Source organism: Homo sapiens, chromosome 15, assembly GCF_000001405.40.
Source record: "Homo sapiens chromosome 15, GRCh38.p14 Primary Assembly".
NCBI classification, from domain to species: Eukaryota; Metazoa; Chordata; class Mammalia; order Primates; family Hominidae; genus Homo; species Homo sapiens.
In genome coordinates, this window is record NC_000015.10 from 80772390 (window position 1) to 80797648 (window position 25259).

Consider the following 25259-nt stretch of genomic DNA (forward strand, 5'->3'; position numbering starts at 1 on the left):
CCCAAAGTTCTGGGATTGTAGGCGTGAGCCACTGCACCCAGCCCTCCCTAGGTATTTTTTAATCCAGGCAAGTTGACACTTAAAATTAAGCATCACACAGGGGAAGGAAATTGCCTGAGAGCAGAAACTGATCTAGTGACAGTTTGAACACAGCCCATTCCCATGCTGCTGCACTTTGTGTGCTTTGAAAAGAAGGTAAAGGATTTCGTGGCATTATAAAAAAATAACAATTATGCTTATGTTGTCATTGAAACCATGAGGCATGCGAGTTCCAGCTAAAGGTATTGGCAAGTCTACTCCTTAGTTGTCTGTGGATGAGCTAGAGTACCTAAACAGCATTTTACCTATCCACGTGGCCCCTGAACAACCTGAGTTTGAACTACATGGGTCCATTTATACATGGATTTTTTTCAATAAATACATTAGAACACTTTTTGGAGATTTGCGTCAATTTGAAAATACTTTCAGATGAACCTTGTAGACTAGAAATAATAAAAAAAATTAAGAAAAAGTTAGGCATGTCATGAATGCATAAAATATGTGTAGATACTAATCTATTTTATCATTTACTACTATAAAATATACACATATCTAGTATAGAAAGTTAAAATGTATCAAAACTTAGGCACACACTTATAGACCATACATGGCACTATTGGAAGTCCAAAGAAATGCAAATACAAAGATGCAATATTAAACCATAACTGCATAAAGTTACCTGTAGTACATGCTGTGCTACTGTAATGATTTCATAGCCACCTCCTGCTGCTGTTGCGGTGAGCTCAAGTGTTGTGAGTATCCGCTTAAAACGCCCTGTGACGCTAATCATCTCCACATGAGCAATTGTTTCTCCGGTAAATTGCAGATCTCAATGGAAAGTGATCTCTTGTGGTTCTTGCATACTTTTCATCCTCTTTAGTGCAATACCGTAAACCTTGAATAACACCATGCCTCTACTGAAGCTGGAAAGGGTCCCAAGGAGCAGAGAAAAGTCATGACATTACAAGAAACAGTTGAATTGCTTGATATGTGTCATAGATTGCAGTCTGCAGCTGCAGTCTCCTGACATTTCAGACAGAGGATTCGTCTTGTAAACAGACGTGTAAACTGATGGTATTGATACAGCACAGTACTGTAAATGTATTTTGTCATCCTGTGGCTTTCTTAATAACATTTTCTTTTCTGTAGCTTCTTTTATTGTAAGAATGAAGTATATAATACATATAACATAAAAAATATGTTTATGTTATTGGTGAGGATTCTGGTCAACAGTAGGTTATTGGTAGTTCAGTGTATGAGGAGTCAAAAGTTATACTTGGATTTTCTACTGTGCTGGGAGTTGGTGCCCCTAACTCCGCATTGTTCATGGCTCAACTGTATTTTTATTTTTTAAGCCAGGAGTTTCTTCTTGGGATTAGTGTATGAATTATAGTGAAGAAATGTTTATTTATTTGTGTGTCTACTGAGCATCTACTCAGGTTGTCATTGTGCTAGTCTGGGAACAGAAAGATAGGGAAGATGCATCCCTATTCTCCAGTGCTCACAGCTGGAGGTAGGGAGGCAATGGAAGACAAGCAGGGTTGGGGAGATCAGAAAACGTTTCCCAGAGACAGTGACATTTGAGTTAGGTCTTGAAGCGTACCTTCGCATGAGCCATGCAAAAAGAAATAAGAACTCTTGAGAAGTGCCCAAATTTTCCTGAAATGCACACATGGGAGTGTTCAGAATGCTGAAACCAGTAACACGGGAGTGATTATATAAATTATGTCCATATTAGGAAATGGCATAACACTGTAAAATAATATTGAAAGAAATTTAAGGCTGGGCCTGGTGGCTCAGCCTGTAATCCCAGCACACTGGGAGGTGGAGGCAGGTGGATTGCTTGAGCCCAGGACTTCGAGACCAGACTGGGCAACATGGGAAACCCTGTCTCTTCCAAAAATACAAAAATTAGCCAGTCTCATAGCCTGGTTTCAAAATATATAAATAAATAAATAGATTAAAATTTAAAAACAAAGAAATAAACAAATTTATTAAAAATGCTAAAAAATGAATAAAAGTTTTAAAAAATTTTTAGAAAGAGATTTAAAATGCAGGGAAATGTGTTTGATATATTATTAGTTGAAAAAACAGGCTTATTATTATATATAATTTTGTCATTTAAAAATTATTTATGTTTTCCTTTTTTTTTTAGAGACAGACAGGGTCTGTGTTGCTCAGGCTGGAGTGCAGTGGCTATTTACAGCCCTGATCACAGTACACCACAACCTTGAATGATTTTTCTGCCACAGCTTCCTGAGTAGCTGGGGCTACAGGCTCTGGCCACCACACCCGGTTTTAAATTTTTGACTAGGTAATAATTCACTTAGTTCAAAGAGAAAAAAATTACAAAAAAGCACATAAGGAAAAGTTGACATCCCACCCCTCTTCCATCTTCCCAGCCCTCACCAGAACTATCAATTGCCAAACAGGAAACCATATTATTTGTTTCTTGTGTGTCATTCTAGATAATTTCCTATGCATCCATAAATAATTGCAAATACAGAGTATTTTTCCGCCCCTTCCCTTTTGCACAAGTGGTAGTGTGCAAATGTATCATATATACATTGCTCTATGCTTTAGTTTTTTATTTTACTATATAAAATTTACCCTATTCCTGGCCAGGCACAGTGGCTCACGCCTGTAATCCCAGCACTTTGGGAGGCCAAGGTGGACAGATCACTTGAGGTCAGGAGTTCGAGACCAGCCTGGCCAACACGGTGAAACCCCATCTCTACTAAAAATACAAAAATTAGCTGGGTGTGGTGGCGCACGACTACAGTTCCAGCTACTCCAGAGGCTGAGGCAGGAGAATCACTTCAACCCAGGAGGCGGAGGTTGCAGTGAGCTGAGTTGGCACCACCACACTCCAGCCACAGCGACAGAGTGAGACTCCGTCTCAAAAAAAAGAATTCTATTCAGCTTTTAAACAGCTGTATAATACTCCATCATATAGATGCAACACTATTTAATTAGCCCTACTACTGGGCACTTAGGCTAGTTTGTTGTTGTTGTTGTTGTTTTACTATTAAAAATAGGGCTACAGTGTATAACCTGGTGCTATTTGTTTCACACATTATAGCTGTAAGATAAATTCCTGGAATTGCTGAGTCAAACATTATGTATATTTTCATAAATCTTGTCAAACTGCCCTCCCAAGTTGTACCAACGTAAGTTTTCATCAGTGATGTATGCAAAGGTTGATTCTCCACCCTTACTGGCCTCCTCCGCAGCAGAGGTAGGGTCAAACTTTTGGATTTTTGCCAGCCTGACAGGTATTTCGGCCTAGTATTAATTTGTATTTCTTCATTTATGTGTTAAGTTGAGCATCTTTTCAAATGTTTGTAAACTACTTGGGTCTCCTTTTCCATCGCATGTATGTTATCTTTATAGGAAATGCTCATTCGTGTATTCATTCATTGACGGTGGACTACACGTGGACTTCATGTTGGCCACTATAGGAGCTACTACAGGGTAGATGGGTAAACTTGAGAGACACAGCCCTTGCCCTCTCAGAACATGCAATCTGATGGAAGAGAATAATTTTGAGCTAGCTATTGAAGATTTATGGAACACTTACATACATTTATCTATTTGTGAAACTATATATGTAACTTATACATGGAAAAATGCTTGGCTATATACTGAAATTAACAGAAATAATTTTTGAGTGGAAGTGATTTTTTTTTCTTTCCTTTGTGTTTTTCTGTATTTTTCAAGCTTTTGTAATGTATACACATTATGTTTGATGTTAGGTAATTTCTTTTCTCTTTGTTCATTGTTTAAGTTTTTCAAGGTTGGTTGGTTGGTTGATTTTTTTACAGGGAACATGTGTGATTTTTTGCAATTAGAACAAAAGGAAATAAATAAGAAGAAGACATCATACATACACCGTTTACCTATGTTTTAGACATAAATAAAACACAGGAAAGAAGAGTTCTTTCTCTAGAGTGACGGTGAGTTTGAAGAGGAAGATATAGAAATCCACTTTCAGAGCTGGGATTTGCTGTCATAAGTTCCAGCACAGGCCTTCACTCACCAGAAAAGCTGAGGACATGTCTCTCTTCAGCTGGGCAGCCTCTTCTGTGTCCAACAAGACAGGAATCAACAGCTCTGAGAGCTGGAAATCTGGCCTCCGGATCCAGGCCTGGGAATTTCCCTTTTCTGATGCCAGCTTCAGGCCCAGTGTCTAAGGGCGACCCCTGTTGGTGGGACTTAAGTATGCTCATTATTCGTGAGCTGCTTCTCCAAGGGTGGAGATGCCCAATTCAGTTTTAATTTTTTGTGGGTCTGCTGGAAACCTTGAGGCCCACAGCCCACTCACACACTACCCTAACTACATCCTGCTTCCCTTTTCTCCTTGTCCTCCACCCGTCTACTCCAGGTTTTCCTGGACAACTGGGTCTGGAGGCTTGGCGTATGGAGCCACAGGTGTGGCCAACCTTTTAAACTGTAATAAGGCAGGCTGCTGTAGGGTCAGGTGCTGTCTTTGCTGATCAGCAGGTGGAGTGTGGAGGCCCTTGTTTTAGGGAACAGATGTGGCATCCTGTCAGCAGACTGAGGATGCCAGACTTGGGCAGCTTGAGGCAACAGTGAGCAGGCAGGCCAATCTACTGCACAAGGATGTAGCTGAGGGGGCTGCATCCCACCTGAGGAAGGTGGGTTGGAGGCAAATGCAAAGAATGGAGGAAGGGCAGGCTTTCTGGGTGGCAGGTCACACCATTGATGGGCGTTTCCCTTCTCTCTGGAGACTCTCTGCTGGGAGATTTCGGCAAGAATCAGAAAACTAACACAGCCTTTCTTGACCAGCTCTTTCCTGTCTCTGCATTTATAAGAGCAAGACAATGGATTGCGAAAGTGTGGGCAGTAAATCCACCAGTGTCATGTTGCTATATTTATCCATAAAGAATTACGCGGCACGCCCCGTTCATCACTGAGTGCTGAATGGCAGTGCTGAATGGAGAACTGGCTGGAGAATCTGGTTTTAGACATTCGGAGCCTGTTTGTAATTCATCAGCACTGCTCTTTTCCCCTGGGCATTGGTCTGTGATAAAGAAAACTGGATACCAGAGGAATGTGCTGGGCATTTCAGTGCTTTGAGAAAACATAGCCAAGCACTTCTCAGGGCCCATCCCTAGACAGGACCCTGCCTTTACCACTTCATCTCCCAGATGGCTGTGGAGCCAGCCCCTCACCAGAGAGCTACCTGGCTCCACTCAGGCCTCAAATCTACTGTCTGTTGATGGAAAATCCTGCATGTCGTGCCAAGCCAGGCTGATTCAAGGTCGACCTTTCTCCATTTGGGCCAAATGCCCAGCACCCCCAAACCCCTAACACACAACTCTTTGTGGGTCTGGTTTCTGGGAGCTCCTTAAGGAAGAAAAACATAAACAGGAATCATGGTGAGGACTGGGGAGAGGGGCCCTGGGTCGGGGGGGCTCCATTTTATTCGGCTGGAAAGAAAAGGTTGGGGAGGAGGGCTTGCCATTGGATCCAGTTCATTACTTCCCAATAAATCAAAGAAGGGCTGAGAATCCTGACCACCACCCCCAGTAAGGATCAAGTTCCGCTTTCTGGAAGAGGCCTAGAGGTGGATTGCAGGACTTCCCAGTTTAACCAGGTGACAAAGGCTTCTGCTTCAGCCCAGATGTGATCACAGACTTCCACAGCTTCTGCCGACCACAGCCTGGCCTTAAAGTCCAGACCTAGAGTCCCGGAGCTAGTGTGTACTACACAGAATGGAGACCTTGCCTGAGGAGCTGGTTCTCAGAGAACACTGGCAGGAAGGAAGAAAGAAATGTATATTCTAGGAGGCCTCTGCTAACCAGGAAAGGGGGCTGAGTCACACTCTGAAAGGTGGAAGAGGCAGAGAGCAGGTATCAACGCCCTCATTTTACAGATTAAAACAAAACAAGAAAAACAAACACTCCTCACCTCCCTGCAAAAAAACCACCCTGAGGCTCAGACAGGGGAAGTAGCTGGCCCTGGTCACACAGTAGGTTAGCGGCAGAGTTGAGAGGAGACTCCATATGCCCTAGGGATGTGTTGTGATGAACTTTTCCTACTGGTACTGTTTCCTCCCGCGAGGGAATGTCTAGACCAGCCGCACCTTCTTGCTTTGACCCTTCAGAACTTTGGCCTGTCCAGTTAAAGAGGCACAGAGCCCTCCTACCCACAGGGAATGTTTCTAACTTACCAAGCACCTATTATGTGCTTAGAACTTGGACTTTCCTGATCTCATTTAAGCCTCACCATTCTAGTGAGGAAGCATCACAGAACCCATTTTCCTGATGAGGAAACTGAGACTGGGAGGGGTTAAGATCCTGTACACAGTTGTAACTGGCATGTCTGAATCCAGTTTCAAACCAAGGTGCCTTTCAGTGAACACCCAAGCATCTTCCTCTCGGATTAACTGCTAGGCCAATACCAAAATCTCTTTCTCGGGCTACTCTTTTGCTGCTGAGTTAAAAAGAGATCCTGAGACTTAGCCTGGGACCCCGACTCGCGGCGATTCTGTGGCAGGCGCAGACCTTTTCTCCTGTCCTCCACTGCCTCTTTGCCTCGGAGGGCGCCCCGGGGCGCGAGCGGGGCACGGGCGACCCTGGCTCCTTGGAGGCCCGGGGACTTGCTCTCCGCGGTCCGCCGCGGCCGCTCCACCGAGTCCTGGCCTCCAGCGCCCTCACCTGGCTGCTGCGGGCGGGACTCTGCGCACCCGGGCTCCGCGGGCTCAGGTCTGCGTCTCCCAGAGCCGCCGCCAGAGCCCGCCCCGGTCCGGCCCGGGCACAGGGCCCCCGCCCCACTTGGGCAAGGCGGGGGCGCGTGGAGGGAAGTTTCATCGGGGGGCGAGGGAGGGAGCTTCGGTGCCGCGCGGGCGTCAGGGGCTCCTCGGGGGAGGAGTCAGTAAAAGTGGCTATAAAAGCGGCCTCTCGGCTGAGGGCCGGGGAGCTAGCGCTCAAGCAGAGCCCAGCGCGGTGCTATCGGACAGAGCCTGGCGAGCGCAAGCGGCGCGGGGAGCCAGCGGGGCTGAGCGCGGCCAGGGTCTGAACCCAGATTTCCCAGACTAGCTACCACTCCGCTTGCCCACGCCCCGGGAGCTCGCGGCGCCTGGCGGTCAGCGACCAGACGTCCGGGGCCGCTGCGCTCCTGGCCCGCGAGGCGTGACACTGTCTCGGCTACAGACCCAGAGGTAAGAGGGCCTGGCTGGGGGCGTCAGGGATGAGCTGACGGCCCATGCCACGGAAGAGAGGTAAGAAGTGGGGGCCCGCGCCTCCACCCGGCACAGGGTAAACGTTACCCGCCTCAGTTTCTGTTTGTCTGTCCACCCTGTGCTGTGCAGTCTACCTCTATCTGTCTGTTTGTCCATGCGTCTGTTGATGGGCACACGCTCTTGGCACTGTCCTCTGTGGGATTTCTCTGAGATCTTGTGATGCTTTACAAGCTGCAGGTGCCGGGGGGCGCTGGAGTCCCCAGAGGGCATCCAGAGGGGGCAGACTCCTGCTTTCCGTAGATTTTCCCCCTTCTGAATGGCACCGGGGGCTTGCGCCCGGGAGAGTGTCTCGCCGAGGAGGGAGTACCACAAGGGTCAGGTCTCGGTGTCCTGCCGACTGGGAGCCAGCTCACGCCGAGCTCTAGCGGGCGTGCGCCTAGCAACAGGTCTGCGCCCTGCTGCTCCTGCCTCAGCACGCTCTTCCTCCCAGTTTCCCTCGCCTCCCAGTGCCTCCGGGACAGCGCTAGGCACCCAGCGACGCGCTGGCGCGGGGCCGAGCTGAGGCAATTGCAATGTTAGATGAACCCGGGGGGCTCTGCTGATGTTTAGACTGAGACTCCAAACGTGGCATCGCTGGAAGAAGGTCTGGTGGTCCCTGGCAAAGGACGTCGGCTCCAAGAAAGGTCGCGTTAGGTTGTGAGGAAAGGCAGAGAGTCCTGGCAGAACGCTGGCCAGGTCTCCAGCTCGCCGCTCTGGGAACGAAGGCCAGTGACATTCTGGAATGGACCCCAAGGGATGCGTGTGCTCATGAGAGAGGAGCGCTGTGCGCCCTGGGTCCTCAGCCGCAGACACTCTCTGCGACAGCCGCTGTTCCCCAAGGGTCGGACGCTACGGCAGTCCCAGGAGTTCCGCCAGCTGCCGGGTTTGAGGTCCTGAGTCCTTCTCCAAGCAGCCAACGCTACCCACAGGTGAGAGCTCCCTTTAAAAACTAATCTTCTGATGTGTGAGCCAGTGCCTGGCTGCAGCCCCATACCAGGGACGGTGAGCCGGGGAGCGCGTCTCTCCATCCCTGCGGTCTGGAAAGTGATCCAGGGCGCGCCCGAGGGCGGGGAGCCGGCGGCTCTGCGTGCCCAGGCGCGACGCCACCATGGACAGCTCCCAGCCACTTCCTCCACTCGGGGTCTGTGGCCCTGGGTCTCCGGGGAAGTCGTGCGCTTTCTTCCCAGACCCAAGGCGTTGGGGCGCTGGGAAAGAGGAAAGGGACTGAGAGTCCGCTGGGGCCCTCGGTATTACCACTCAGGAGGCAGCCCAGCCCTCAGGAGTCTGTGGTTTGTGACCAGGTCCTAGCTGAGCCGGCAGTTCTGCAGGACCTCCCGGGGGCACTCTGTGGTTCTCTGGCTTTTCTATGACACCACGGAGACCCCTCAGAGCTGTTAGGAAAGTATGGCCCCTGAGAATCCGACCCAGGCAGTGAGATAATGCCAGATACAATTACGCCAGACATAATTAGGGATCCAGCTCAAACTGTTTTCTGTGTAGGGCACAAGTTCATGTGTTCCATCAAATTAAATTATTTATTTAGTACATATGGGATTGGGAGGATATATTAGTTTTACGATTAATGATAGAATGGAGAAGAAATCAAATAGAGCAAATTTATAGAGAAGGCAATCGGATGCATTTGCAAAAGCAACTATGCGGTTTTCTGATCCTAATAGTTTTGTTCAAAGCCCATGACTTTCTTAAAGCAATTTCCAAAGGCTCCTTTTTAGCCCAGTAGATGACTTTTCAAGTTGGTCACTTGAAACAGGGTGGAAAAACCTGTAGGGTTTAATCTGTGCACCAAATTAAAGATCTCCCTTCTCTGGTAAGAAACGACACTGGATGGGGCTCTTTTTGTCATTTCCACCCATACTGAAGTGTGTATCTTCCTTTATTTTAAAATTACAAGAAACGCAGGTCTGCTTTTTTTGTGTGTGACTGACAAAGGCCGACGGAGAGTAAAAACAAGTAAACACCTCTTATAAAAAAAAATTTTGAGACAGCATCTGTGACTTTGGGAAAGTTGCTCAAATGTTTTGTGCCTGTTTGCTGATATGTAAACTGGGAATAACGCAATGCCATCTTGCAGGGTTGCTATGAGAATTACAGTAATTGGTACAATGTAAAGCATTTAATCCAGTGCTGAGCATAGAGAAATCGTTTTAAATGGTAGCAATTACAGGTATATTTTAAAGACAGTTGTGCATTTCTTTTGAATTATGTTCACCATCCCTTTGCCCTCTCTCTTAACCTAGTAACTGTTTGATAGGGACTCCATCTTCACTTTATTTTTGCATCCGAGAACTTGTTGATGGAATTGATGAAAATGCTGGAGTTGATCACAATGAAAAAAAAATTCTTATTTAAAGACAAATGGAAGAACTTTTATGTGATAAAAATCGGTCAACTGTTTTCCCCTACCTACACTACTTGGAGGAAAGATAAAAGTAAGTTGTTTTCAAAATACTCTCACAGCCCTCTGGTTCAGATGATCAATTTTTCCTGATTGTTCTCTCACAAGAATGCAAGGTCTTCTAAGTGGCTTTGTTGTCTTTCTGCAAGTGAAGTACTCTTGGGTATTGATGGAGAGTGGCCTCTAAGGCCTGGTTTCTAGATCACTCCAGGATGAAGTAGGGGTTAGCTTTATGGAGTGGAACTTTGCCCAGGGGTTCACTGAGTGGTCATTGCCAAGCAGGAAGCACCTTACTTCATGCTTGAGCCTTGCTTAGGTGTGAGATTCTGACCAAGATACTTGCTCTGCCCAGAGCAGTGAGCACTTATTTGATCCCAGCTGGACTGGAGGGTCCCTTCCAGCTCTGCATTTCAGGGTTCTGTCTGGTAGACATCACTAATACATGACACACCACAGAAGTTTGGAGAATGGAATTGTATAGTACCCAGTCTTCCAGTTAGAGTTTTCTCCCCCCACAAAAGTGTGTGTGTGTGCGTGCATGTGAGTGTTTTTATCCCTGTCAGTTTTACATTCTGGTGCTCTTAGATTTTTATTCTTCTCCTCCTTCTGCTCTTAATAGCTCAGAAGGAATCTTAGCTTCTTCCGTCTAAAAGGATTGGAGCTGAAGAATACATGCTACAGATGCTCAGAATCTTTCTATGAGACTGCTGGTGACATGAACAGAGCAGGAGGACATGGGGCCTTGGATGACCTTGAATTCCTGGCTGTCTTCTGTGGACTCCCATGCAGATTCCAGTTTCCAGCATACCCATGGCTTTCTGGTAAGAAAACTATTGAACTACAGGACACTCTTGGAGTGAAGGCCAATGAGGGGAGGAACTGTCATGTAAAGTGGTAGAAACGAGCTCTTCATCAGTCCTGTGGCATTCTGCCTATTGCAACAGTATCTGAGTCCTCAGGACAGACAGAGCAAATGGCAAGAGTGGCATTCAGTGGGGAAGGCCAGCAGAGTGAAAGGGGTGAATTCAATTATTCTCATCAGCCTCCTTTGAAGCCTGCTGCTTAAGTGACCTCTTTTTAGTACCTTCTGTGGTATCGGCAAAGCATCACAATTTGATGGATTAAATGCAATTTGCATTTGCAGTTATAGCTCAAAAGAGAAATGCAAACATGTAGGTTGGGTTCCTAAATGGGAACAAAGTTGTATTTGTGAGTTGCATCCACAAGATAGCATATCTTTGAAAAGTCTGGACTACACATCTCTTTCTACATGATGGCACATACCCAGGTGTTTGATCTTATCAGGGTAAAGCATCAGCTATCTCTCACTGCTTGTTTTTTACCATTATCTGGAGGCAGTTTCAGTTTCCTTTGAACAGTGAATAGGAAAGGATCACATTCTTACTCTCTTGTATCTGGTTGGGTTGGCAGGAGGCTGGAAGTGGCAGTGGGTACTGGGGGAGACTTCTCAGTGCTGGGTTCCTTTCTACTGTTTTGCAAGCTATTCAGCTGGGCCTGAACCTCCTTTCCCTAAAGTCTGGCATGTAGAAACTTTGCTAATTTGAGTAGGATGGTGACTGTCATGGTGACTTTTATTAATATCTGCACCTCTTTGCTTTAGCTACTTTCTTCAGGGGCCATCTTATCCTCTCTGGCAGGCCCCTAGTCCTTCTTTTTCTTCTCTGTGCCCTGGCACCAGGCTTTGTTCAAGCTTGGTTCTTCAGAACGGAGGCTGCTTGCAGAGAAATGTCATCAAATATACATTTGCTGTCTGCTTAGTTCCCTTGGTGTTAGGAAACACACATGGCCACCCAGAGGGAGAGGAGCTGCTACTCCTCTCTGCCCCTGTTATTTTTTAGGGCCTGTCCCTAGACTCAGCTTGGCTCCAGGAATCTGAATCCATCCTTGCCTCCCCACCCCTGCAGGTGAGTGAGCCCTGGGGAGCACAAGCAGTCAGGCCTTCCTTGCACAGGCACCTGCTCAGAGCAAGGAGCTGGACAGCCTGGCTCCTTGCACTGGGATATCTTTGAGTCTTCTGGAAGGGCAGTCATATCAGGGGTTTAGATGCAACTTCAGTTTAAAGTGCTTTGCCCAGACTTTGAAAACCTTTGAAGACCAGGTCTTTGAAAGCCCTGTGAATTTCTTTCTCTCCTGTCAGTAGGAGAGCTGCACCATTAGACATTTTCTGTTACGGAGAAAGCATATCTAGATAGTTGTTCTGGCATGGAAGGTGTCCATGCCAGATTGCTGTCTTACCTGTTTTTAGACATCACACGGAGGAGGGAGGGCCACAGGCTTCCCCAGGAGCCTGCTGCACTCTTTGGCCCTCTCTGAGGTGAGGAGTTCATGCTGTTCTCCAGAGTCTTTATGGCTGTAAGGTATGCACTCAGCCCTTGGGACGAGGAAAGTGCAGTGGCCTGGAGGACAGGCACATTTTTCTGTGGCTCTGCCAGTCAGGAAAGGTGGGAACCATTGGAGTGTTCCTTGGGGACTGCTTGCTGCTTACTGTGACTGTACTCCTTGCCTGGACTATCAGCCAGGACCTGGGCAGGTTCCTTGACTTCTCTAGTCCTTTGTTTAGGGGTTAGGTTAGACCAGTGCTTCTTAGACTTAAAATATGCCAGCAACTCACAGGGGCACGTGTTAAAGTGAGAGTTCTGATTTGGCAGATCTGAGGTAGGGCCTGAGAGTCCACCTTTCCAACATGCTCCCAGGTGACGCTGCTGGTGCACAGAGCTGCCTTCAAGTCGTGGGGGCCTATGTCATTATGACATTGATGACTTTCTGTGATTCTGATTCCAATTCTTCTTGGTGTAATTTAAGTCAGTTCCCGTTGTCCGAGTTGAGGAAGCCCAGCTGGTCTGTGCCCTCCTAATGACCTTATAATGACCCTTAAAATTCTTGGAGATAATTATTGTCGCTCCTAAGCCATCTTATCAGCAGACTAAATATCTTGGCCCCCTTTAAGTTTCCACTTTTCCCTGTCATAATAAATTTTCCAAAGCTCTCTGGACCGAGCTACTTTTAAGCGCAAGATCGTTGTGCAAATGGCAATTTATCTTTGCCTGGCAGAGGCATTTGAATGTAATTTTGGTGGTATTAAGAGATCACTTAGGGAATTTCATCTAACTCTGGCTCCAGACACTGAGAATGGATGTTTACATTTAAACAACTTTTTTAGACTCCAAAGATCACAATTTCTTCTTTTTTGAACCTGAAAATGAAATTAAGGCCCAATTATCTTCCTCAACCCCCTCCCTGTGGCACTCCTGGGAGGATGAACTGGTCATCACCAGTACATTCTGGGTAGCCCAAGATGCTGGTGTGCAATTGTGTTCCGTCACCCACCGCCACAATCGGAAGCAGAAAATAAGTTGAGTACAAGTTTTTGATCATCTTCTATGAGGCAGGCCCTGAATGAGTCACTGAGAAGGCAGTTGAATACATGGTTCCTGCTCTCGAAGAGCTGGCAGCCTGGTGAGAGGACAGACATCCCAGTCAGAAGCTGTCATACAGGGTGATGGGGGCTAGGACAGATTAGTCAAGAGGAGTGGAGGGCGTGAGACCTGCTGGAGAAATGAAGAAGACCAGTAATTCAGCCAGAGGAGATCCAAGGAAGCTTCACTGAGGGCATATGAGGAGAGTCAGAAGCTCAGAAAGGCCTAAACCCCTTACTTCCTGCAACCTTTCAGATGCATGAAGTTTCTTACCTGCCTCAGATGCATAAGCTCCCTCACCTGTCCAGGTCCATAAGCTCCCTTACTTGCATCATGTGCATAAGCTCCCTTACCTGCCCAGGCTTTGGGCTACACTGGGCGCAAGAGAGTGCTTCTGAGCAGCTGTTAGGCCTCTTTCCTTTAGGAGACCTTTAGTCTTCTAGACTAGTAATTTAAAAATTACTTGAACCACAAAATGCTTTTTTTGCGATAAAATCTTAGTAAATCCAATTTAAAAACTAGATAAGAAGTGGCTGTGGTTGGGGATGGGAGCTGATTTTTGTCTTGAGTTCTCTCAAAAAGTTCCACAGAGCTCTGTGGGTTCCAAGGAGCACACTCTGAAAACTTCGGTCCTGGGTCATTTCGTTTTGCTTTTGGCAGTCATATCAATAGTGTTAGCTTAGTTTTATTGTGGTTTGTGTTGCTATGTCTTTTTGTTTTGTTTTTGTGACAAAGTCTCACTTTTGTCACCCGGGCTAGAGAGCAGTGGCATGAACACAGTTCCCTGCAGCCCCAACCTCCTAGGCTCAGGTGATCCTCAAGCCCCCCAAGTAGCTGGGACTAATTTTAGCTAATTTTTTGGACTAATTTTAACATTTTTGTAAAGATGAGTTTCATCGTGTTGCTCAGGCTGGTCTCAAACTCCTGAGCCCAAGATATCTGCCCACCACTGCCTCCCAAAGTGCTGGGATTACAGGCTTGAGCCATTGCACCCAGCCTGCTATGTCTTTAATATTCTGGATGTCTTGCTGTGTGTGTGTGTGTGTGTGTGTGTGTGTGTGTGTGTGTCCATCAACAATTTTCAGTGAAAATTGAAAACCAGAATTAAAATTAAAAACGGAAATCTGGAATTACCACATGTGTGATAATCCAACAAAGATGGGGTACATGGAGGACCAGTGAGAAGGGCTGTATATGATAGGTGCAGGAAACTCCAACCTGTAGCTGAGCATGGGAGGGACAAACAAAGTTGTGAGCTTTTTGCAAAAATGGGCTTCTTATTTACAACCTGGTCTGTTAATCTTGTTAAACCTCCCAATATTTTTTATATAAAACCTGGTAAGGAAAAAGAAATCTTATTTTCAGGGTTTAAAATTTGGCAAGGTCTATCCAGGAACTTGCATCCTTTTTCATTGATGTCAAAAAGCCAAATTTGATTGATCGCAAGATGTTTTGAAGGTGGGGCTTGAAAAGAGGAGGCAAGTCAGATAGACAGGAATGGAAGAGCTCTGCTGCAGAGGCGCAGGGTTGCGGGTGGTGGCTCCAATTTTTAGCTGTGGCTTCTGTCTGCCTCCTACAAAGCTCTCCTCAAGGGAGAAAATGATGCCCTGAATGGGATAACACCCGAAGAGAGGCTGCCCCTCACTGATGAGTGGTCCCAGTCCTTAGAAAGGGAACTGAAGAGCCCCTTCTGGGCCTGGAGCCAGCTCTAAAAACATAATCATATGAATTATTGAAGATGGTGAGAGTAAGGCTTGTTCAGTCTAGAGAGTTTAGACAATACCTTCACCTCTGGAAGAACCCTGCTAGGTATGTGAGGAACTCTAGCAGAGGGAAGGGGCCCCCTGGCAGATGGGTTTCCCTCCAGGATGGGCATTTGCAGTTGCCTGGGGCTCCTTCTACTGGCCATACCAAAACACTTGCCCTGGACAGTGTCAAAGAAGGCTGAGTGTTGGTGGGTGATCAGCAGCATCTCTTTCTGGGGGAATCCAGCCCCCTGTCTGGAGGCCTTTGCGTCAGCCCACATCACCATAGCAACTGGAACATACTAAAACAAAGACTGACTCCCAGACCTTGGGATTCAGCCTCTCTCTCTCCTACTTCCTAGATTTTTCCTCAAAGCTGGACTTAGGTTGGATCCTTGGTTGCGCTGATCTCTTAGCACTGGTAGCCACAGATGCCGGTTTCTAAAATCCCATGGAACTGTCTTAGGGGGCTGGCCAGTGGTGAACCTGAGCCATCCACTTGTACACAGTGGCTGCTGCCTGGGCTCTCACCATGTGTGGGCCCTTCTCTCCAGCTTCCAGAGGAGGCAGTGGTATCTGCAGCGAGGAGACAAAAACACTGATGCTCAGAGTTACAGAGATGGTATAGGCTGATGCCCTTGGGTGTCTGTCTGGCTCTTAGTCCAAAGCATTACTTGTTTGCCTTCTCTATAGGACTCTTGTCATGCCGTGAGGGACTTATTCCCAGCTTGGTCTCCTCAAGCCCCCTAAAGGCTCGCCTCAGGAGTCCTACTGAATCCTGGGTCTCCAGTGCCTCCCAGGCCCCTGTCGGTGTGCAAAGTCATGCTCCTTCTTGTAAAGAACAGTAGGAATGAGCCCCAAAAGGAGTGCATAGAGGAGCTAGTTTGGGTGAACCATTAAAATAAATTTTTTTTAAGGCCGGGTGAGGTGGCTCACACCTGTAATCCCAGCACTTTGAGAGGCTGAGGCAGCCAGATCACTTGAGGTCAGGAGTTTGAAATGAGCCTGGCCAACATGGTGAAATGCTGTCTCTACTAAAAATACAAAAATTAGCCAGGCATGGTGACACATGCCTGTAATCCCAGCTACTCCGGAGGCTGAGGAAGGAGAATTGCTTGAACCCGAGAGGTGGAAGTTGCAGTGAGCTGAGATTGCGCCACTGCACTCCAGCCTGGGCAGCAAGAGTGAAACTCCATCTCAAAAAAAAAAAAAAAGAAAAAAGAAAAAAGAAAAAGAAAAAGAAAAACATTTCTTTTAGAAGAAACCGGTGGTTTATGACAAGCCTATTTCAAAGCTGATTGTGTTACAGGCACTGAGTAATTCACTCTAATGCTAGTTTTCCAAAGGTTTGGGTTCAGGAAAACCTCAAACATAGTGGCTAAGTACTTTTCCTTTCCTTTCCTTTTAAAACCCTGTTTATTTTCAGAGGCGTTTAATCCATATGTTTTAGATCCATTTGCATGTTACTCAGCAAAAGGTTGTTTTGCACTAACGTTGCTGAGCCATGAGTGAGCCTGCTCATCTCTCTTCCGCTCCAACTGGTGCTTGCAGCTGAGCCCCATGCTCACGGCCAGACGACTCTAAAGCTTTATATTAGACACAAGGAAACATAAGCACTAGAGGCAAAAAAAAAAATCAATAATATTGACCCTATCTTTATTTAGAATTTTGATATTTCATTCATCATGAAATTTTTGGTGCTAATTTTGGTTTTTAAAGTGTTGCATTGCACTATTCTTTATATTGATTATTGAGTTTTTTGGTGGCCTCTTCAGTTTTGCACCCAAGGCGAGTGCCTTTCTTATCTCACTCTCATCCTGTCCCTGGTAAACACCCACTTCCAGGGCCCATTCTGTTTGGAAGGTTAGCATCCCAGTTGGTGTGGGTTCTGCTGTGGTCTCCCAGGCAGAGATCAGTACCAGAGACAAGGCAGACAAGCCCTTTGGTGATGCTAAAGGCTCCTCTGAGCCCTGTTGATTTGAATTTGGGGTGTGGGGCTTCCAGAGAAAGTGGAGAAGACAGGAACGTGTGTCCTCTTCAGACTTGGGATCTGACGTTGCTCTCTTCCCTTCTCCCTTACTTCCCTTCCTTTTCGGAGAGGGCAGGAATTGTGGTGCTCCGTAGTAGAATGTTTTGCAAATTCTGCTGGGCTGATGTGTCACTAGTCTGTGACTGCTTAAGAAGCCACAGAGTTCATCAGATTTCTCAATTCAGTTCCTGGTAGTGAGAGAGAAAGCAGTTGGAGGATTTTGGCTTTGGGACTTCCATATGCAGAGATTTCTTCTTGCTTAAATGATTTTTTTTTTAAATAAAAAGGCGTGGTCATCTCAGTGGTGTCTGTTTAGTTGGTAGCTTTGAAGAGGCTTGGAGATTCCTCTGACCACATAATTGTGGGTTATGTGTATGCCTGAACTTTCCAGGTGACTGAGAAACAGCTGAAATCTGTTCTACATTTTAAAATCACAGTGTAATGTTACAAATGGTGACACATTAACATATCCTGGAGTTTTCTGAGAATGACCATGTAGTGAAGTTCATTTTTACTTTAAACATCTCCATATAAAATTTATTTAAATAAAAAGCTATTTTTGACATACAAAAAGATGATACTTCCGTTGAATCTTGTGTAATAAGCATGAACTTGAGCTTCTGCTCTGTTGAGGTTGTTTGAGGACATCACCCCTCTGAGCTCAGGGGGAACGAGGGGCAGAGAGGCAGAGTCACTATTTGAATAGAGCCCTGCTCATGAAGGGCCCTTAGTGGCCATTGTGGGATACGTGGTGCAGAAGTCTGTGGTTTCCCTCAGTGGAGATGGCTTCTCATCTCAGCCACGTCCCAATACAATAAAGAGTCCTTTCTTCATTCAGAGACAGGACCCCTACTTGGCTCAAAGGCAGAGACTTTTCATGTTCTGTTTTACTCCCAAGGGCTAGCACATAGTAGGTGCTCAAATATTTTTTAAATATTCAAATGAATGAGTCCTGCGTCTGAACACCAGCCCCCCAAGCATGTACATTTCTCACTACATTTGATGTTCACTCTTGTGTATTCTGCTCTGGTATTTGAATGAGACTAAAGCCTGACTAAAGTCAATTTCTCAGAGGTCTGTACTCCTGTGGCTTTATGGTTATTTCCATCAGCATCATTAATATTCAGTGCTTATTGGGCAACTAAAACATTCAGACTCACGCAGACAGCATTGCATGCATCATCTTATTTAAACTTCCTGACAACTGTGAACAAGACATTGTCCTGTTTTGCAGATGGAGAAGGTCAGTGAAGCCGCATCACTTATGCAGCTCCAGGTGGGGGTCACTCGGCTCAAGGTGGTGGAGTTGGAACTCAGACCTATGTCACCGTGAGTCCAAAAGCTCTTCATAATAACTAATGTTGCTCAAATCTTGACTTTTGAAAAAACATGTTGAGGGGAATATTAGAATTCACAGTAGATCAGACTCATAGAACAGTATTCATAGAGTTGAATTCGTTGAGAGTAATTGTAACCCGAATGCACTCATCATTGACCCGCCCATTCTTTCTAGATACTTGGGTTTCAGAGATGACTCCGTTGCATTTCCCTGCAATGGAAAAGCTCACAGTTTAGTTGAGGAGACAGACATACATTCAACTACCTACAATCCATGCTGTAACAGAGGCATAAACAAAGCAATATGGAAGCACTACAAAGTGATGGTAAACTACTTTGCTGGGGAAAGAGACAAGGTAACATGGAGGAAGTGATATTTGATTGGGCCTTAAAGAAAAGTACAATTTCTCCCAGGCCAGAGAATGGAGGGTTAAGAAGGAAGGAATATCTTGAACTGAATGCAGAGGATTAAAAAAAAAAAAAGATATTTAGAGAAGAACTAGAAGTTTCCTGTGGCTGGAAATGAGATCATAAAGGTGGGGCAGGGCTGTAGATCCTTAAAAGCTGAGTCAGGGAGTTCAGCTTTTCACCTGAGTGAAGTGTGTGATCAATTGGTGGGTGTTAGGTCCTTGTACCTGGTGGCAGGTATCTAAGGTTGGGCTTGTCTTCCTCCCTCCCAAGGGTGGTGTTCTTGGTAAGAAATGCATTCCAGAATCCCACTTCTCACTCTAGATTATCGGATAATGTCACTGCTAGGGCTCAGTAAATACCCTTCAGCAAGAAGGATAACTGCGCTGTCCGAAGTGAATTGTTGGTACCAGGGTAATAGGGCCCAGAAGGTGATAGAGAGAAGATTAAATCAGGGACATTTCAGGGGTCTTGTGGTTCGAGTCGCTGCCAACATGAGGTTTCTTCCCGCTGCAAGTAGAGGCTCCAAGCCCTTGAGGAAAATTTTCCGAGGCTCCTAATCCCAGGCCCTTGTCTCACAATATCCCTTTGGACCGATGCATCCCTGTTTGCTGTATGCAGTCTCAGGGCTGGGGTGAGGAGGGTTTATCCTGTGGCCTCTGTGCTGGCTTTTTGTGAGCTGTGCAGATATTATGATTTTTTCATAATTCTTCATGAATTCTTGGACACATTTCTAACTGCCTTGTTGACTGACCTGCAGCAGAGGCGGCAGAGGGAAAGTGGGATAAAGGGACAGCATTTCAAGTGAGACTCCCCTTTGGGGAGGAGGGAGTAGTCACCACGAAGGATGCAGATTCAGCTCAAATTTCCTCAAAGCTTAACTGGATGAGATGGATACTCTGAATGCGGTCTGGTCTGCCGATGCCCCCTGGGTGACCTTCCGTAGTCCTCATCTCTTCTCTGCACTGTAGTTGTCATCAGACATTTGGGTGATTTTAGCAAAATAAACCCACCCACAAATATTCTTTTAGTGCCATCCCTGTATGTGGTCTTAAAGCAAATCTGAGTATGCCCACCAAGTAGCCAGAGGAGAGAAAGTCACAAAGGCTGGGTTCTTCCATTCAACAGAAACACATTAAATTCAGATCACCAATATCTCCAAGATGGTTCTAATCAGACAAAAAGAGAGAAATAATGAAGTATTCCAGGAAGGGCCCAGTTAGGTTTTGTTGACTGCAAAATAAACTGTTCTCCATATTCTTTCTCCACCAGTTTGCATGCTGTCTACTTTATATCTTCCTTGGGTTGTAGAATATTAGAGCTGGTGTAATAAACTGGGAAAGGGCATAAGCTTTGGAGCCCAGCAGTCCCAGTTATAAATCTACCTCCTGCACTGGTTAGCTGCTTGACTTTGGACAGGTTACTTCACCTTTCTGTGCCTCAGTTGCTTATCCATCCCCTAAAATAGGATGATTATATATTATTCTGTGTACTATGTGAACTAATACACGGCAACTTCTTAGAGTTATGATCTTGTACATACTAGGTATACAAAATAGCATGTCTCTTCCAATTGTCAATGTAGCTGATTGAATTAGCAGACACTGTATGTAGAGATGGCCATGCTGTGACTTTGGGGGAATTTACAAACTTTAAACCTTTGGCAAGCTATGGGCAGTAGCTGGTCCTAGAACAAGAATCTGAATGGCCAAGGCATGTGCTCTAGTGTTCCCTTGCAGAGATAGAGATTGTGTCTCCTCGGTGTGGTGTCTGTCAAGCTCAACACTCCATGAGATCAGGAACTAGTCCATCTCAGTCACCATTGTATCTCCAGAACTGAGACATTCAGGCATGAATGTTGTCCTGAGAGGAGAGCTACTTACTAGCATTTCCTGAGACCTACTACTTACAGTCACTTTATAAGTGCTTTACATATATTGGTAGGACACAGAATAGAGAAAGGTAGTCCAGGTCTTCTGACTTCTGATGAAAATACAGTTTAAGAAGTGTAAAAAGCAGACTTGCTAGTATCTCTGTGCCCTGGCTCAGAATATCACATTAAGAGGGTAAGCGTTGGAGCTGCAGGTTTTGAGATTGACATGGGTGGCAGCAGGTTGGTGCAATAGTGAAATTTGAAGGGCACAAACTCCTTGCCTAGCTTGGCTGTGTAACCTGTCCAATTATTTGCTTTCATTCAGGACGTCTTTCCCCCTTCTGCTCTCTGAAACTGGAAGATGTTGAGAGGCACATAATTAATTTGGGTGTGTTAGACCAACGCCCTCAAAGTTCCTTATTTACTTGTCATTATGCATAACTACACACATTATCAACACGAGGTTAAGTCTTCTGTGGTGGGTGTTTTTCTCTTACCCAAAGTGAAGGGGAGTGGTTACCATTGAATGGTGGAACTCTGGTTATCACAGCTGGGTTTCCCACAGGTAGGGTTACCCACAAGATCAGAATAATTTATCACTAATTACGGTTTTGGAAATGAAGCTTAGATGAGCCCTTCCTAAAGTGCATTTCTTGGGAGCATCGCTTCCTTGAGCTGTTACTAGATATTCTGAGGTCAAACAAGTTTGAGACAAACTGGGATAAACAAAGTTGACCTGTTTTCATTTTCCAAGATCTTCTCAATGGCTTTGTAAACCAGCATGCACCATGTCTCTCAGGGAGAGGTGCATAGTGTATAGTATCTCCCAGACGTGTTGGTCTAGGGAATTCCCTTTCTATTTTCACAGAGGACTTTCTGAGACTTGGGTGCTGTGGGACCTATGTTGGGGAAACACTGAGCTAAATATTCATTAGTGGGATAGGATGAAAAACAAACACCACATGAAACTGGGCATCCCCGCCAGAAATTCTTAATAGGTGCTCATTACAGTTTTATTAACACTAGGGTCATCTTTGAACTTAAGTAGAATGCTTTTGTCAAGTTGTTTTTGTTATTTATGATTTTATTTTTAGGTCAAAGTGTTGCCAAGTGGGTTCCTGGTTTTGGGGATTTGAAAAGTGGGACAACTTGAGGTCAAAGACCCTCCAGCAGTTTATCTTTGCCTTTCTGTTGTCTGTGATTTTTATCTGGTTTAACCACAGGTGACCTAGTAGTCCCATCTGGCCCCTAGAGAGGGTTGTAGCTTGTTCCAAATGGTCCCAAATCAGAAATTTCTCCCTCACACAAAATAACAGTGAGCTTACAAACTTGTAGTATCCATATTCATATGACTATTTTTTTAACCAGAAGTTTTTCCTTTGCTTGTCTGACTCATTCACTCATTTATTCCCTCATTTAGCAGTTTACTGAAGTCAGCTTATAATATTGCAGAGGCTGCTAGGCTCTGGGGATGCAGCAGTGACCAAAATGAGCTGAGACCTGCCTGCATGGAGATTACAGTCTAGAGCAGTGCTGTCCAGGAGACATACAATGGGTGCCACATTTGGAATTCTGAGTTTTCTAGTAGCCCCACTAAGACAAAGTTTAAAAAGAAACAGGTAAAATTAATTTTAATAATATACTTTATTTTCACCTCATACATCCAAACTATTGTCACTTCAACAGGTAGTCACTATAAAAAGTAATGAGATTGTTTACATTTTTTTATACTAAATCTTCAAAATTGGTATGTATTTTCTGCTTACAGCATATCTCAATTCGGACCTGCCATGTTTCCCGTGCTTAATAGCCACAGGCGGCTAGTGGAACAGTGTAGGTCTAGGGAGAGAGACAAATATAAAAAAATAGATATGAAAAAATCACGGGCGTATGTGATTCCAAACTGTGGCCAGTGATATGAAGAAAAGTTGAAAGGTTTGAGGAGAAAAAATAGGGGATCTGCTACAAGTGGCTGGTGGAAGTAGAAGTGGGAGCAGGGAGAGAAAGCCTCTTTTGGGAAGCAACATAGGCAGAGCCTAGGAGGATAGTGAGTAGAAGCTAGAAAGACCAAGAGTGGGGGCAAGGATGTCCTAGGTAATGAGGATGCAAAGAGGCCTCAAGACAGAGAGTGAGAGAAGCCCAGATTGGCTGGGGCAGGGAAAGTGAGGTGAGGAGCAAGGCAGGACTGAAGGGGAGGCAGGGGTGAGGGGGCAGGAAGGGGATCATGCAGCATCTTTTAAACCATGCTCAGGACTGTGAACATCATCCTGAAAGCAATGGGAAGACATGAAATTTCAAGCAGGGGAGTTACATTGTCTGATTTTTCTGTTTTTTTTAAAGGGATCCCTCTGGCTGCTCTCTGTCTGGGTAGGTGGGGGTGATAGGCAATAGTTAGCAAAAATAAATGCAGGAAGATGGCAGGGGATGCTATGGTGCTGGGCTAGGGACCTGGTGATGGTGGGTTGGAGTGGAGGCAGTGGGGAAGGAGAAGTGTGGGTGGATCCAGCTGGTGTTTAGGAGATGCAATGGACAGACAGGATGGTGGATTGGACATAGGGTAAGGGAGAGGGAGGTGTCCAGGAGAACTCCCAGGTGGTGGGATGAGCATCTAGGTGGATGTTAGGAAGACTAGAGTGGGTTTGGGCTGGAGATTATACTCCAGGACACACTGGGCACGGCCAAGCAAGAAACCTTGCATCTTTTCAACAGGAGTTATTCATTGCTCTTGAAAAGCCAGGTGCAGTGGCTCAGACCTATAATCCCAGTGCTTTGGGAGGCCAAGGTGGGAGGATTTCTTGAGCCCAGGAGTTCAAGGCCAGCCTGGGCAACACAGCAAGACCCCCATCTATAAGAAAAAGGAATTGCCAGGTGCTGTGGCTCACATGTATAGTCCTGGCTACTTGGGAGGCTAAGGCAGGAGGATCATTTGAGCCCAGGAGTTTGAGGCTGCATGGAGCCATGATTGTACCACTACACTCCAGCCTGGGTGACAGAGGATAAGAGAATTTTAAATGATATGGAGTTTTTTGTTATTATCTCTGAGGAAATGATACAAAATTACCTCTGATTCATGTTGCAATTTATTATTGCAGTAACACACAGCTTGTACCAGAAAATATTTTCATAAAGAGGTGGCTTTTCCCATAACTTTAAACTTTAAAAATAGCATTTAATAAGAGCTTACCAGGATTTTATTTTGATTTCTTTTTTGTTTATTTATTTAGCTGTTTTTGAGATGCGGGGGCGTCTCACTACGTTGCCTAGGCTGGTTTCAAATTCCTGGGCCCAAGCGATCCTCCTGTGTCGGCCTCCCGAGCAGTTGGGACTACATGTACATGCCACCGTGCCCAGCCTTAGCAAGTATTTTAAAGAGGGCTTTGAAGTAGCTTCTCTTTGTGGATTACACTCAGAACTATAGAGTGCTTAGCAAATGGATGGGGCTGCAGTGAAATCCACTGTCACTAATGTGTGCTCTCAGTGGGTCCATTTTTCATCCTGGAGAGCTCTGATGGAGAACTTGAAACCCAAGATGTATTCGAAAGGAGACTGCCAGGAAATGAATGAGCAGACTCAGGGTATTCTGGATGAAATGCTCTTATTACAAGACTGTTGGTGCATGTTCCATGTCCCACTTATGTGTGTGATAAGCCACCAATACATTTATCAGTCTGACCTGTTTACCGAAAAAGATATCAAGGCTTGAGAGCTCTGAGTCACTGCCAGGTAGATCAATAAAACCATGAGATATTGCAGTTGCTTAGACCATTTATTCAGCAAACGTTTATTAATCAACCACTCTACACCAGACATGGAGAATGCAAAACCCAGTAACTTACGCTCCTACCTTTCAATCTGGGAGCGTGGGGTGGGTGACTGGGGTCAGGAGAACACATGAGATTAATGCATTTTATGTCCATATAAGGCAAAGAGTGGGCAGAAAAGTGGGACCTCATTATTCTTGGGGGAATTAATCTTTGACTTGAACCTTACAAAGTATAGTAAGAATTTGTCTGTTGATTAGAGAGGGCATTTTAGGCAAAGGGCAATCAGATAACCTGGTACATTAAAGGAGCTATGAGTGGCTCAGGGTGGCTGGGGTGTAAGGATGAAGCTGGATGTGGAGAGAGATGAGGCTCTGGCATGAAAGATGTCCAGAGAAGTCTTATTAGGTAAGGTTGGAAAGGTTCGTGTGACACTTCATGGCACCAGTTTGACGAACCTGGCCAGAACTGCCTACGGGAATTGTGCACAGCAACCTGTGATTGTCAGAAATTGAGAAGTGGAGGTGATTGCAGATCATTATAGATGATTATAAATAGAGTACAATGTGTATTTGAATATAATCTGGGATCATGATATCTTTGGTGTAGACACAACCTCCATCGCTATTCGATGCCACAGGGAGCACCTACAGTGTCCCGGTGCTTTGCCAGGCATGAGCAGTGCTGGCGTGTGGAGGGTAGGGAGAGTGCAGGGAGGACAGAGGCGTGCAGGGTCCAGCTGCTCCTGGGGTGCTCATGGTCTAAGGGGATAGAGAGATGTGTACACAAGAAAAGCAGCAGTCACACTGTTCACCAACATCCAGTCCCTCTTTTTTTCTGGGCACAAGGGAGGCTAATGCATTCCACACTTTCGATGTTAGTTGTGGTCAAGTGTCTTGTCTTAGTCAATGAAATATGAACAAAAGTTGTGTGTGTCATTTCTAGAAGAAACGTACAAAAACTAACA

General features: G+C 45.6%; 1 protein-coding gene across 9 annotated transcripts in view, besides 2 other annotated features; it reads left to right on the forward strand.

The window, feature by feature from the left end:
• Positions 6603-6882: a silencer, noted in NCBI's record as "silent region_6737". NCBI's record gives its function as "represses an Ori minimal core promoter by ATAC-STARR-seq in GM12878 lymphoblastoid cells {active_cell/tissue: GM12878}" and the evidence as "EXISTENCE:reporter gene assay evidence [ECO:0000049][PMID:35858748]".
• The window catches only part of CEMIP (cell migration inducing hyaluronidase 1), a 172402-nt gene continuing 154123 nt past the window's right edge, over positions 6981-25259 (forward strand). For 4 of the 9 annotated variants that reach the window (XM_047432899.1, NM_001293298.2, NM_001293304.2 and 1 more), the window contains exon 1: positions 6981-7225. The gene's annotated coding sequence lies outside the window, so the exon portion shown is untranslated. Of the gene's footprint in view, positions 9736-10320; positions 10523-18146; positions 18242-25259 lie in introns of all 9 variants that reach the window. The other 5 variants (XM_047432893.1, XM_047432900.1, XM_047432894.1 and 2 more) reach the window with 4 other exon arrangements.
• Positions 7503-8008: an enhancer, noted in NCBI's record as "H3K27ac-H3K4me1 hESC enhancer chr15:81072233-81072738 (GRCh37/hg19 assembly coordinates)". NCBI's record gives its function as "activates a minimal SCP1, AML or CMV promoter by ChIP-STARR-seq in naive H9 embryonic stem cells {active_cell/tissue: H9 hESC(naive)}" and the evidence as "EXISTENCE:reporter gene assay evidence [ECO:0000049][PMID:30033119]".